This window comes from Homo sapiens, chromosome 5 (genome assembly GCF_000001405.40).
Source record: "Homo sapiens chromosome 5, GRCh38.p14 Primary Assembly".
Taxonomy (NCBI): domain Eukaryota; kingdom Metazoa; phylum Chordata; class Mammalia; order Primates; family Hominidae; genus Homo; species Homo sapiens.
Genome location: NC_000005.10, coordinates 80,718,732 through 80,733,746, shown reverse-complemented (window position 1 = coordinate 80,733,746; position 15,015 = coordinate 80,718,732). Strand labels below are relative to the sequence as shown.

General features: G+C 36.6%; 1 protein-coding gene across 1 annotated transcript in view; it reads right to left on the bottom strand.

The window, feature by feature from the left end:
* MSH3 (mutS homolog 3) overlaps positions 1-15,015 on the bottom strand; it is a 222,164-nt gene that overhangs the window by 143,069 nt on the left and 64,080 nt on the right. Inside the window, exons 9-10 of the mRNA NM_002439.5 lie at positions 8,182-8,294; positions 4,782-4,896 (exon numbers count right to left, since the gene is read on the bottom strand). Of these exons, the coding sequence (NP_002430.3) occupies positions 4,782-4,896; positions 8,182-8,294 (228 nt within the window). The remainder of the gene's footprint in view (positions 1-4,781; positions 4,897-8,181; positions 8,295-15,015) is intronic.

The window sequence follows — 15,015 nt, the reverse complement described above, 5'->3', positions numbered from 1 at the left end:
ACCTGATGCTTAATGATGTTGAGCATATTTTCACGTGCTTCTTGGTTGTTTGCATATATCCTTTGGAGAAAAACCTGTATGGATCATTTGTCCATTTTCTGAGTTATCTTTTTACCATTGACTTGTAAGAGTTTATATATATATATATATTCTAGATACAAGTCCCTTACTGGATATATGATTTACAAAAATTCTTCTATTCAGTGGATTGTCTTTTCACTTTCTTGATGGTGTTCTTTGAAGAATAAAAGCTTTTACTTTGATGAAGTCCAATGTATCTATTTTTGCTTTTCTCACTTGTGTTTTTGATGTCATAGTTAAGAAATCATTGCCTCATTCAAGGTTACAAAGATTTACACCTATGTTTTCTTCTAAGAGTATAACAGTGTTAACTCATATCAGGTCTTTGGTCCATTTTATCTTCCAAACTCAAATATGACATGAAGTAAGGGTCCAACTTCATTCTCTTGCACAGACAGTTATCTTGGCACCATTTGTTTGAAAAAAATCTATTCTTTCTCCACTGAATTGTCTTAACACCCCTGTCAGTAATCAAATGACCATAAGTTTATTTCCAGACTCTGAATTCTATCACATTGATCACATGTCTGTGCTTATGCCAATTCCACACTGTCTTTTTTTAATCCCACCCTCCACACTGTCTTGATTACTCACTTTGTAGTAAGTTTTGAAACAGAGATATGAATCCTATGAATTTTAGGATCAGCTTGTCAATTTCTCCAAGGAAGCCAGCTGGGATTTGATACAAATTGCACTGAACTTAGAGACTGATCTGAGCAATACTGCATCTTAACAACAACAGACAGGTTTAATGTCTGTGAGGTTTTCATAAATGTCCTTTGTCAGGTCAAGAAAGTTCCACGTTAGTTGTAGTTTTTTGAGCGTTTTTTATCATGAAGGGGTGTTGAATCTTATGCAGAGTTTTTCCTGTCTATTGAGACTATCATGTAGTTTTTGATAAGGTAGATTACATTGATTGGCTTCCAGATTTTTAAACCAAGCCAGTATACCCGAAATAAATCCAATAGTCATGGAGTACAATCGTTTTTATATTCCTGATTCCATGTACTTATATTTCATTGAGGATTTTTGTGCCTATAATCAAAAGATACTGGTCTGTAGTTTCTTTTCCTGTAATATATTTGTTTGGTTTTGGAGTGTTGAAATTTGGAGCCAAATAATGTGTTTTTTAGGGAAATATCCTGTGCATTTTAGGATGTTTAGCAGCATCCCTGGCTGCTAGCCATTAGATGTCATGAGAGTAGCTTATATATTAAGCTATTTCTTTCACTAGTAAGTAAAGGTAATCACCACATGTTATCATTCTGTTATCATAAGAAGTTTTCTTTTAAAAAAAAGGTTTTACAGTTTATCTTGGGTGGATTTTCTCACTCTTTCCTAAAATTTCCAATATCTTTTTGAAGTTGTGACCACTCCAATCTTAATAAAAACCATCCAAAATGACAAAAGCATTCATTTCTAACAACAAAAAGTGGATTCCTCTGAATTTCATAAATTTAGGCATCAGGTTAATTCTGTTATAATAAATAATATCCCTCACATTCTATTTATTTTGTTACACTATTTTTCTTTGAAACAAACTTAAACTCTCAAAATAACTTTAGAACCTCAAGTGTGTCTTAACAAAACTTCACTTAAATCATCCTTAAGAATAATTTCTGAAATGGTATATTTTCTCAAACTATCTAAAATTCTATTCTAATGGCACAAGGACCTTTAAATAAACGTATATCATGATTTTTATGAAATATGCAGCAACGTTTGTGAAAGCATTTACTAAACAAGTCAACTCAAGTGAAATTTATTTTCCCCTTGATAACATAGCTTTGTAAATAAAAGTCCAAAACTTCAGCAGCATAAAGTATGTTTATAAAATAATGCAACTGAATTTTTCATCTACAAGGAGAATATTCATTTTTCCAAAGTAATCACCTTAAGAAGCAACATTATTTTTGCAAAATATAAGCACTACAGAATTACTCTTTTAGAATGATCTTCAAATTACATGCCACTCATGAACACCACATTTCGTTTTTAAGCAAAACTAGAGTACCAGTTTGATCACTATCTTTATTAATCTTGGTTTCCAATGACCTTTTGGCAATTTCCAATGAAATATACCCTCACAGAATGAAGAATTCCTTCCTTCTTTCATTAATCCTATATTAATACTATATATAATAATATATAATAAAAGCCTACTAGGTGCTGGGCTTATGCTGGATGCTGGGAATATATACAAAGCAGAGCACTTTATGTCTTTTGGCTTTGGCTCCATGGAAGTACCCAACAGGTAGATTAGATGATACACTAAGTCACTAGCAGAGCCAGTTTCCTGACCATCCTCCACCATCAATTATGAGATGCAAAAAGTTCAGCTTCAGTTTATCAAGAGGTTACTTCAGGTAATTTGAAAAGAATCTATTTTAATTTCAGTATATATAGACATCTTGTTTTATTGTTTGGTATTATTCTTATTTCGAATTAAATATGAGGAAGACAGGCCGGACACGGTGGCTCACACCTGTAATCCCAGCACTTTGGGAGGCCAAGTGGGCAGATCACTTGAGGCCAGGAGTTTAAGACCAGCCTGGCCAACATGGTGAAACCCTGTCTCTACTAAAAATACAAAAAATTAGCTGGGCGCGGTGGCGTGCACCTGTAATCCCAGCTACTTGGGAGGTGGAGGCAGGAGAATTGCTTGAACCCAGGAGGCGGAAGTTGCAGTGAGCTGAGATCGCACCACTATACTCCAGCCTGGGCAACAGAACAAGACTCCATCTAAAAAAAAAAAAAGAAAAAAAAAAAAATATATATATATATATATGAGGAGGACACATCTTTCCAGGTCCAAATTCATTTGCTTCTAAACACATCAGGGCCTGATTTCTAAGTTAGTTTCCTTATCCCAACATTAATACTTCTTTGCTTGGTGATACAGGAACACAAACACAAGTCTTAATGGGCAAGCTATTTATCACTAATTGTACCTCACTTACAGGGTCCCTATCATGAACAAGTCAAACTGGTAGGTATCTTGTCACCCCTTTTTTTACAAAGCCCCAACACAACCAACCATACAGATTGATCTCTTTAATAAGTTTATTTTTGGAGCTTAAAGTAGAATCCAATGAGGGTATAATGCCGGGCTGACACTTTTTAAAATAAAACATTTTGGCCACACTAAAAAATGTATAGATTAATACAATACCCACATTCAGAAATGAAACATCAGTTAGAACTCCACTATGCCACGTCCATCCCCAACCTTTACTACTTTCCCTTCTTCCCCCTGGAAGAAACCCTGCTTCTGAATTTTCTATCACTCCCCTGCATGTCTTCACTTATTCTCTAACTACATATATATTCTTAAGCAGTACAGAGTACGATTTCACATGTTTCTAACTTCATATAATGGTATGTACTACGTGGCCTTCAGCAACTTTATTTTTGGCTTAATATACTGTTCATGAAATTTTAAGCATTGGTCATATATTAATAGCTCTAGTTCATTCATTTTCACTGCTATATAACATTACATTGCATGAATATAGCACAAGGATCCCTGATGGGCATTTAGATTGCTTTTAAATAGGATAAAGTTGCTTCCAGAGAAATGATACTCTGTTCTAGTACCACACGGGAGAACGCACATCAAAGACATTACAAAAAGAACCCCAAGGAACCTGCCTTTCTTTGACTCTCTCCAGCAACCTTGAACCAGCACCACCTCCTTGTTTCCTAGTTAATTTCTATTCTGTCATTTTGCTGAGATAGCACCTATCTCCCCTCCCACTTGTGCAGAATGGGACAGAGCTGATGCACCCTGGATCAATATAATGGAGGGTGATTCTTGACAGACCCAAAGACAAGGGGCTGGTGAAGGCGGAATATAAAAAGACAAGGAAAGTACCCTACTACTTTTTTCTATTCCAATGGTTATCAAACTAGTATTTTCCTAGAATGTCAATTGTGAGCTTTTAAATTTCCAAAATCCACAGTTAATCACTCTTGTAAAAAGCTGTGTTAGCAGCTGGCCCTTTTATCTCTAACTTCATGGTCTATGAAATAAGAACTGAAACCAAGAATAAGAAAGGTGGTAAATTTTTATGAATGCTTTTTAATACTATTTCTGGGTCCAGTTAGTATAAAGCACAGTTTTGTAGTCAAAACTATAATATATCAAATAGCTATCATGAATACAATTTATTTGACAGAATTCTTTATATATATATATATATATACACACACACACACACACACACACACACACATTTTTTTTTTTTTTTTTGGGACGGAGTCTCGCTGTCGCCCAGGCTGGAGTGCAGTGGTGGGATCTGGGCTGACTGCAGGCTCCACCTCCCTGGGTTCACGCCATTCTCCTGTCTCAGCCTCCCTAGTAGCTGGGACTACAGGCGCCCACCACCACGCCCGGCTAATTTTTTGTATTTTTAGTAGAGACGGGGTTTCACCATGTTAGCCAGGATGGTCTCGATCTCCTGACCTCATGATCTGCCCGCCTCGGCCTCCCAAAGTGCTGGGATTACAGGCATGAGCCACCGTGCCCAGCCAATATATTTTTAATATTCTTCAGCAACAATACCAAACAGCTCATCCTTGCACCCTAGTATTCTATCAATAGCAGGCAAGCTTCTCTAAGTATAGTACTACCAAATTCAATTTAAGAAATGTTCATAATATAAGCTCCCCCTTTTTTTAATTTTGGAGGAATCACTTACTCAGGTTTGGAGAGCATCTTTTCCAAGTTGAATTCTTTGAGGTATTTTATGATGGCAGCCAAAGAGCAAATCACAGGCTTCTCTAAGTTAACAATGCCAGAAATAATTTGAGAACCTAGAAAACAGAATATATTAACTTGTTATAAAAATTCTTTTAAATTAATCAAATTAAAAAATGTAATAAACAGAACCATTAACTTGTTAGCATTATTAAACACAAATTTTAAGTAAAACTTAATGGTTACCAAAATAATAATTTGGACAATATCTCCTAAAATTGACCTTTGGAAAAATGTAAATCATTACTAATACCCAGGGCATGGAAAAAAAGGGCATTTTTCTGATGGTGGAATGAACCTTTTTTGAAGAACAGGTTGTTTTTTCAAAATGTAAAATGCCCATCCCCTTTGTCTAGAAATACTCCAAACTGCATGTCAAGGATGTGTGTACCAGAAGGTGACTTAAAACATCTTTTGGAGTATTAAAAAAAAACTAGAGACCACCTAAATAAACATTAACAGCGTAGTACTTAAATAAAGTTGGGTAAATCCTGGTTATTATGTACCAACTAAATGGAATGACTTCCAATTATCTGCACTGATATGGAAGGCCATCTATAACATGTTGCTAAGTGAGGGAAAAAAGTTGTCTGATCAATTTCATGTCTCACCACAAACACTGCAACAGCTTTCCATCTGGTCTCACTGCTTCATCCTTGCACCCTACAGGGTATTCTTAACAGAGCAGCCAGAGGAATTCTTTTTAAAATGTATATCAGATCATTAGACTATTTTGCTCAAAAGTCCTCCAACATCCCCCAACTCATTAAGAGTAGAGGTCAAAGCCCTTAAAGTGACCCTATACTGCCTGCCATCTCCTCTTTATTTCTGAGCTCACCTAATGTTCTCCCCATCAGTTACTCTGTTCCAGCACACAGACTACTTGCTATTCCTTAAACATGCCAAGCACTCTCCTACTTAAGATATTTTGTACTTACTGTTGTCTCTGCTTGAAATACTGTTCCTTCATATGTCTATATGGCTCTTTTCCTTAACTCCTTCAGTCTCTATTCAAATCTTCGTTCAAGTGCTGTTTCTCAGTGAGGCCTTCCTTTACCATCCTATTTAAAAGTTCAACCCACTCCCCTGCCTTATTTTTTTCATAGCACTTATCACCTTCTAACACACTAGTTTACTTTATTGTACATCTCTCACCATTAGAATGTAAACTCCAAAAGAGCAGGAATTTTTGTCTGTTTTATTCCTTATTGTATGCCCAATGCCTGGCATATAATAGGCATTCAAAAAATTAGCTGAACGAATAAATCCCAGTTATGTTAAACAAATACAGAGAACTATATGTGTATGTTTATGTGTGTATGTGTGGAGTTTTACACAAGGATATATGCCAAATTGTTAATGATAACCCCTCCGACATATAAGCTGCAAGGGCAGAGGACAAGTTTGAGGGCAGGCACTTTACTTTTTTCCTTATATACGACTACACTGTTTGACTTTCTTGCAATAAGCATTAATTACTTTTAGAAGTAAAAAAACATATATTACAAGATGTTCTCTACAAATCAGTAAAATATCTTATTAATTTTAACTATAGGTGTTTATAAAACCAGAGTGTAAATGAAGTGCTAACAACACCTTTCCGTTCCACTGAGAAATTGATTTTCTTTTAACTTTCTAGCTTTCTTCCCCAGAAAACATGACAAAGATGGTGTATCAATGTGTTAGAAGTAGCACTGCCTGTGGTAAAAATGACCAAATATCAGTAAATTACATCTGGACTGAGAAGAATTATAAATACCTGACTACAGAGTTTTGGCCTTCCCTTAGTGCGTTGACTTTTGTCAACTGGCGTGTCTTTTGTAGAGACTGCAGCAAGAAATACAGGCTCCTCAAGGGCCTGGAGCTTCTAAGCCAGGGTGGCGCTTACGCTCACTTGATGTGAGTCTCCTTCCTTCATACACTCTCCCGGGCACTGCCACAAAGTCTGCTGTGAGGACTATCCCACTAAGAGCAACACATGCTCTGCTTGTAAGGTGTGTTTTCTGGCCCATATCTTTTAAGTAAATCTGGTACCACGGATAGGTCATGGTAGTCTTAAGATTTATCAGGTCTTTAGTTGAACATAAGATGACCTCTCGGTAATACTGAACACTGGTGTTAGAAGTGGGATACACTTGGCTGGGCGCAGTGGCTCATGCCTGTAATCCCAGCAACTTTGGCAGACTGAGGTGGGAGGATCGTTTGAGCCCAGGAGTTCAAGACCAGCCTAGGCAACATGGCAAAACCCCACCTCTACAAAAAAAATACAAAAATTAGCTGGGTGTGGTGGCGCACGCCTGTAGTCTCAGCTACTTGGGAGGCTGACGTGGGAGGACTGCTTGAGTCCAAGAGACAGAGGTTGCAGTGGGCTAAGATTGCACCACTGTACTCCGGCCTGGGTGACAGAGTGAGACCTTACAGAAAAAAATAAAAAGAAGTGGGATACACGCTCAGACACTTTATTTGACCAAGGCATCATGAAATTAAAGAGACATGCTAACAAGACACTGATGCCTAGATGCAAGGAAATGCTAACTAGACACTGATGCTTAAATGGAGCAGTGATGGGGAGCTGATGATGAACACTCTCTAGCATGTGACAGAGATAAATTTCCTCCATATGGAGTAGGATGAAGATTAGAGTGAAGCCAAGTTTATGCCAAGAGGGAAAATGTCTATTCACCTCACCATCCACAAAATGGACCCTAACATAAGCTGGACTGGCAGGAATGTGAGGTACAAATGAAAGTAAACATTAATGCCTGATTGTGGACATGTGAATTAGACAAATAATGATTACCTAAAATATTTCGACCTGTCACTAGATTCTGGTGTTTTAATTTTGGCAACCAACCTTTCAAAATGCTAGTCTTCATCAGAATATTTATCATCCAAACAGTCTATAAAATACAAAGATACTAATGAGCCATCTTTAAAGATAAGCAAAAAGGAAAGATGGTCAAAACTCCTTCCACTCTGATGAATATGTCAAAACCATCAACTTACTAGCTGGTCATAATTTCAAAAGAGGCTGCAATGGTTCTTTTTGTTTTTTAACAGACAGGATCTCGCTTTGTTGCCCCGGCTGGACTGCAATGGCATGATAATAGCTCATTGCTGCCTCGAACTCCTGGGCTCAGGCGATCCTCCCCTACCTCAGTCTAACCAGTAGCTGGGACTGCAGTACAATAGTGTTTCTGATGAGCACAACAACAGTGAGCTCTTCTTCTCCCACATATTTATAATAACTACCTAGTCATCATTAAATTGAGAATCATACTAATACCTTTATCCAAATTTCAAATCAGTTCAACTTGAGGACATACAGGGAAAATATTTACCTTTGATGTCAACTGTATCTTTTGCATAAAACTCTGTAACTGCCTGGAAAGCATGGCTGTATTCAAAATAAATGTTATCCATCCTTTCGACTCGAATTCTGTCATCCTGCACACTGAAAGAAAAAAGGAAAATTTCAAAGATAACTTATCCATTATCATGAAATGCTGGTATTTAGGTCTTGGCCAGAAGAGGAAAAAAAAAAGATAAAGATTTATTCCTTATTCTTTCCCAAGTTGAAGAAAGAGAGAGAAAGAAAGAGCTAAAGTTTCTCTGCCAAAATGCTCTATTTCATAAAATATTAAAATGAGTACTTTTTAATTTTTTTATTATCTTTTTTTTTTTTTTTTTTTGAGATGGAGTCTCGCTCTGTTGCCCAGGCTGGAGTGCAGTGGCAGCAATCTCAGCTCACTGCAAGCTCCACCTCCTGGGTTCACATCATTCTCCTGCCTCAGCCTCCCGAGTAGCTGAAGCTACAGGTGCCCGCCATCACGCCCAGCTAATTTTTTGTATTTTTAGTAGAGAGGGGGTTTCACCGTGTTAGCCAGGATGGTCTCGATCTCCTGACATTGTGATCCGCCCACCTCGGCCTCCCAAAGTGCTGGGATTACAGGCGTGAGCCACTGCGCCTGGCCAAGTACTTTTTATTAACTGCTATTTTATATCACCTAGCACATTGTGAGTATTTTATATCTATCATTATTTAAAAAGAAAAACTCATTGAAATTAGGGTCCATTATGTTACTAAATATGAAGAGAGAAAAACTGAAAAGCATCATTTTGATTTGATTACGTTATTTGTTTAAATAATCTAGCAACAGAATACAGCACTGAGTAACTCTTTCTTTGAGGGACTTTCTGCTAAATCTGTTTCTATCACAGTCTCCAGTCAAATATAGTAAATTAGGTTAACTCTCACTCTTTAAAGTGATTCTACAGTCCTCCTAAAAATATGTATAAAAATTTGCCTAAGTACATAAACAAAATCATAGCATGCATGCTGGGTAATGCATTTTCTTTTTCTATGTTTTTTGACTCCCTATTCTGTCCTCCTTCTCTTCTTTCTTTATCATCTCACTCCCATGACTGTTATCTCTCATGTTAACAGCCTAGAATGAATCTTTCCATATTTTTTCATGTTCATATTTTGGTCATACACAAGCATATATAATATATGCTCATTATATATTACTACATTATAAAACTGAGATGATTTTATAAACATATTTCTGTGTCTTGTTCTCTTCACTTAATAATTCTTGAAAGTCCCTCCATAAAAATGACCTAGCTACAACTCCTTCTTTTTAATGGCTGAAAAATATTTCATAGTATATAGATGCCACAATTTCTTCAACTATTTCTTTGTTGTTTGATATTCATTTGGTGTTAATGTTTTGTCACATGTTGCTTTAAAACATTTTTATTTAAAAATATAAAACTTTAGTTACAGTTGTAGCCTGCACATATCCCTCACTAATCACATCCCTCTACGATTTCCAGAAGGAAACGCTGGCCGGGCACGGTGGCTTAATGCCTGTAATCCCAGCACTTTGGGAGGCCGAGGCAGGAGGACTGCCTGAGCTCAGGAGTTTAAGACCAGCCTGGGCAACATGGCTCTCTCTACAAAAAATACAAAAATTAGCCAGGCACGGTAGCACATGCCTGTAGTCCCAGCTACTTGGAAGGCTGAGGTGGGAGGATCACTTGAGCCCAGGGAGTCAAGGCTGCAATGAGCTGTGATCACACCACTGCACTCCAGCCTGAGCAAGAGTGAAACATCGTCTCAAATTAAAAAAAAAAATTAATAAAAGAAGCAAACATTATCTTGAATGTGATGTATATTACCATGCATGTTTTCATGTTTTATAAAAAACTGTATCATTTCATGCTTTTCATTTTGTATGAGTGGTACTTTATCATAACCATACAAATTGATTTTATCCTCAATGTTACACTATTTCTAAGATTTATACATGAAGATACATGTGCTTTTTACATTTTAACAGCAGCTAAGTATTTTATTATTTCTTATATTTTCTAATAAATTTAAGATCTGCTTTCTGAATTTATTCACCAGAATTTATCTTTGTGGATAGTGTGAAGTTATAAATACAATTTCATTTTCCATATAATTAATGATCAAAGCAGCAATTAGCATTCCATACGTCCCTGATGATTTATAATGTTACTTTCACTGCATATTGCATTTCTATATATGTTTTTGGATTCTCCATGCTGTTCCACTGGTCTTTTTGTCTATCTCTGTATCACGACCACAGTCTCTTAATTTCTAGGGCTTGGCATCTATATCTAAAGTGGCAAGGTCCCTACCTTGCTCTTCAAGATTGTCTTGGCTACTCCTGGCCCTTTGATTTTCTTTGTGAATTTTAGGTTCACTTACCTTCGGTCTTCACAAGAAACTTACTGGGATTACTTTATTTATTTATTTATTTATTTATTTATTTATTTATTTTTAGACAGAGTTTCACTCCGTCGCCTAGGCTGGACCAGGGCTCATTGCAGCATCATCGACCTCCCAGGCTGAAGCAATCCTCCTTCATCAGCCCCAAGTAGCTAGGACTACAGATAGGCATTACCACGCCCAGCTAATTTTTTTGTATTTTTAGTAGATACAGGGTTTCGCCATGTTGCCCAGGCTGGTGTCAAACTCCTGGACTCAAGCGATCTGCCCACCTCGGCCTCCCAAAGTGCTGGGATTATGGGCGTGAGCCATTGCGCCCAGCCCTTATTGGTATTTTAATTTGATATGTAATGAATTAATTTAGAGAGAAATAACATCTTAAATAGAGGTATCACATTATCAAAGCTGGTATATTCTTCTATTCATGTCTATTATATCCAACAGTAATGTTCTGTAATTTCCTCCATGAAGGTTTTATACAGCTTTGGTTGTGCTCACTCTTAGATACGTACACATACCTCTCTCTGGTCTTTATCTGAAACAGGAACAGGTGTTGGGTGGGGCCCGGCCCAGCATCAGGGGACTCTACTGCACATTAAAGTTAAAGAACCACTGACCTATACAAATAAAAGACTGCTGCTATAATGAAAATTAGTAGATGATAGGAAAGAGTATTCCCAAAGCAAAGAGTATTTCCTTTGGAAGCTTATCTTATGTATATTGATGTAGGTATATCTAATGATCTAAGAACATCAAAAGTTATCTGTAAAGTAAAGCTATACTATAAACAACTGAGTTAAGATACTTTAGAAAGTTTCTCAATATTTTTTTCTTTGGCTCCCTATGCAGAACACTTTCTTGGTCTCTACATAAAACTGAAAAAAGACTTGAAACCATCCCCAGCACCAAAATAAAGCAAGCTTTTTTCTATTTTTATGATTTTCCTTCCTGAGCAAGGAGATCGTATGAGTTGATTTAAAAGTTCAATTACAATGCCTTGTAATAAATAAACAATAGTGAAACTTTATTACCTATTTTGCTTTACAATTAGGTTAAAATTCAGAAAGAAGGATTTATGACAGAAAATCTATAGTTTATATATTTTTTTTCTTCACAAAAACAGTTAAACAAATTCTCATGGGCATATGCCACACAACAATCACTGTTTCTTAGTTTACAATCTAAGACAACAGACAGTAATGTGGTAGACATATGTAAAAGATACAGAAAACACAGAAACACAAATGGCTATACCTCGTCACAAAAGCAGAACACTCCCTCCCTCAATATTATGAAAAGTAGAAATAAATGTATCATTTTATCAATGTAACACACATTTGTAATTTTTTGCTATTTTCCTTGATATAATATTTTATTGAAATAATTGTTGTTTTTTGTTAGATTCAAGCATAGTTTTTCAGTCTCCCTAAATCCTGCCATAAAAAGAGACTTTAATAACCAAACTAAAACCCACAGATAACATGTACTACACTATAACTGCATCTCAAGATATTAAGAACCCCAAAATGCAAGCAGGTGGGATGAACAATAAGATACAAATGCTATCAGCAACCATGTGAGAAGAAGCAGACAAAAGCAACAGAACTCTAACAATCGGAAAACAGAAACAACACAAAACAGCAACGAGGTACTCACTGGAAAGCACAGTAGGACATTTTGAGGAGCTGAAATTGGGAGTGCAGTTTGTATATTTGATAATAGTGACTACAAGGAGTCCACAGTAAAGCCTGAAGGGGCTTGAGAACTCTAGGCCCTATGAATTCACAAAACCAGTGATGCAAAGCACTTTTTTAGGACAAATCTTACCCTGAGGAAAAACTCCTATGAACAGAATCTAAAATGGGGAGAAAAGGATAACAGGGTAATTGTTAAAAAGACAAAAGTACTACAGAACAGAGCCAGGAGAAAATGAGCTGTCACATTTTCAAATACTTTGACAATATGCAGCAAAATGAACCTCAAAAAATCATATTTTGTGAAAGAAATCAAGCCAAAAAATTTTAATATATATTGTAAGATATCCTGTATTTGAAATTCTGTAAAAGGTAAAATATACTGGTGGAAAATTAATAATTGCCTAGGGCCAGATGTGAAGGGAGGGGACCAACTGCAAAAGCACATGGAAAGTTTTAGGGTAAAAGTATTCTTCCACATCTCGACTGTGATAGTGGTTACAAAATTGTGTAAAACTACCACTTACACTTACAGTTGTGTAAACTGTACACTTAAAAATGAACTGTTTATAAATAATACTTGGAGTTAAAAAACACTACCAGAACTGTGAAGTCAGAAAAGCTATTTTGAACCCATGCCTCTTCTAAAAGTTTGGGAAAATGAATTTGCATAAAAATGAGTAATAGAAAAGGACCCAACTCAAATCCTGTCCAAAGTTATGATAAGAAAAAAAAAGAAAAAACATAATAACATCTCTACAGACAACAGAATCATGTTAGATATCTCCATAAAACATGAAAACCCTAACAAGTTAAAAAAATTATTAAGAAAACAAATTGGATTTAGAAAAACTCAGAAATCAACGGGCAGAACTCAGGAATTAGAGACAAAAGGAAAACTTCTCAGAATGAACGATAGTCTAGAAGGCACACAACTGAATAAATACTACAGATAATAAAGATAAGAAGCAGGAAATGAAAGGGGGAAATTTTTTTCAAAGTCAAAAAGAAATGAAAGAGGAGATTTGAAAGATTGAAAGAAAGTAACAAATACAAAAGGTTGGCAAAGAAGACCTAAAACGTGTATAAAAGGTGCCCCCAAGGTACAAAGTTGGCAAAGAGGGCAAAGCAAAGAAACAGAAAAATCACTTGACACTGTATATTTAAAAAACACATCACATACCTGGGGAAATCAACCCATAATGACCATCACAGTAAGTAATCTAGTAAAATTATTTCCAGCCAAAATGACAAGTTGTTTATAAAAGAAAGAAAAACAGAGTTGCCAAACTTTAACCGCAATGTTTTACCCTACAGACAATAGAGTAATGTATTTAAGATACTCAAAGAAATAAACTGTAAGCCAGGAATTTTAAGCTTAGCCAATCTTCCATGTATAAAGGCCACAGAGAGCTATACCCAAAGTATGGTCACCAGACCAGTAGCATCACCACCACCTGGGGACTTGTTAGAAACACAGATTCTCAGGCCCCATCCCACATGTACTGAGCCAGAGAACCTGCCAGTGAGGCCCAGTACTCGGCGCTTTAACAAGCCTGCCAGGTAATTCTGATGCACACTAAGGTGTAAGAACAACCATACTACAGAATAAATTTCAGACAACCAAAATGACTAGAAAGACATGGATATAAGAATTGGTGGTGAGCATGTAATACATATTTGTTTGGAGAACTAAGACTCTCAATGGAGGCTATAAGAAAGAAGGTATAGTACCTAATGGCTATATGCTCTGATGATGCAGATATATTACAACTGTGAAATAAATGGGGAAGAAACGTAAGACCTTTAAATGCAATGGCATTTTATAATATATAATTTTAATAACATAGATTCAGTAATGTGGGATAAAGCAAATTAAATACCTGATATTTGAATGATAAAATCAGAGTACTTACATAAGAACCAGGATTGTCGACATGGTGGGGAAAAGGAGATATAGATGTCAGACTGAAAAAGTTAAATAAAAACTCTTTAGCCCTGAATTTGAATCAGAAGTATTTTTTAATGAGTTCTTAATATAGTTTGACCTATCCAATAAATAGCCTCCCTAGTTGCACAGAATGTGGTTTAGAAATACCATTTCCTGGCCGGGTACAGTGGCTCATGCCTGTAATCCCAGCACTTTGGGAGGCCGAGGTGGGTGGATCACGAGGTCAAGAGATTGAGACCTTCCTGGCCAACACGATGAAACCCCATCTCTACTAAAAATATAAAAATTAGCTGGGTGTGGTGGCACGCGCCTGTAGTCCCAGCTATTCAGGCGGCTGAGGCAGGAGAATCGCTTGAACCTGGGAGGCGGGGGTTGCACTGAGCCGAGATCGCACCACTGTACTCCAGCCTGGCGACAGAGTAAGACTCCGTCTCAGAAAAAAAAAAAAAAATACCATTTCCTACTAAAAGAAACTAGGGAAGGATTACTGGAGAAATGACTAATTCCAGGTCTGGGACTGAAAATGTTTAAGATGATCCTAGACTAACTTGTTACACAAAAAAGCTACTAAAGATTACTAGCATCATGGCAAAATGGCACAGAGGTCAACTTGGAGAGACTCTCTTTGCCCAATAATGGGCCATTTTGAGCACTGGGAAGAATAACAACTGCAATGAAGCCAAAATACATTAGGCCCTTGGGTTCATAATGATACTTTAAAAAGCAAGACTTGTTCATCACTACTGAGTATCAATGGCTACTCAATTCA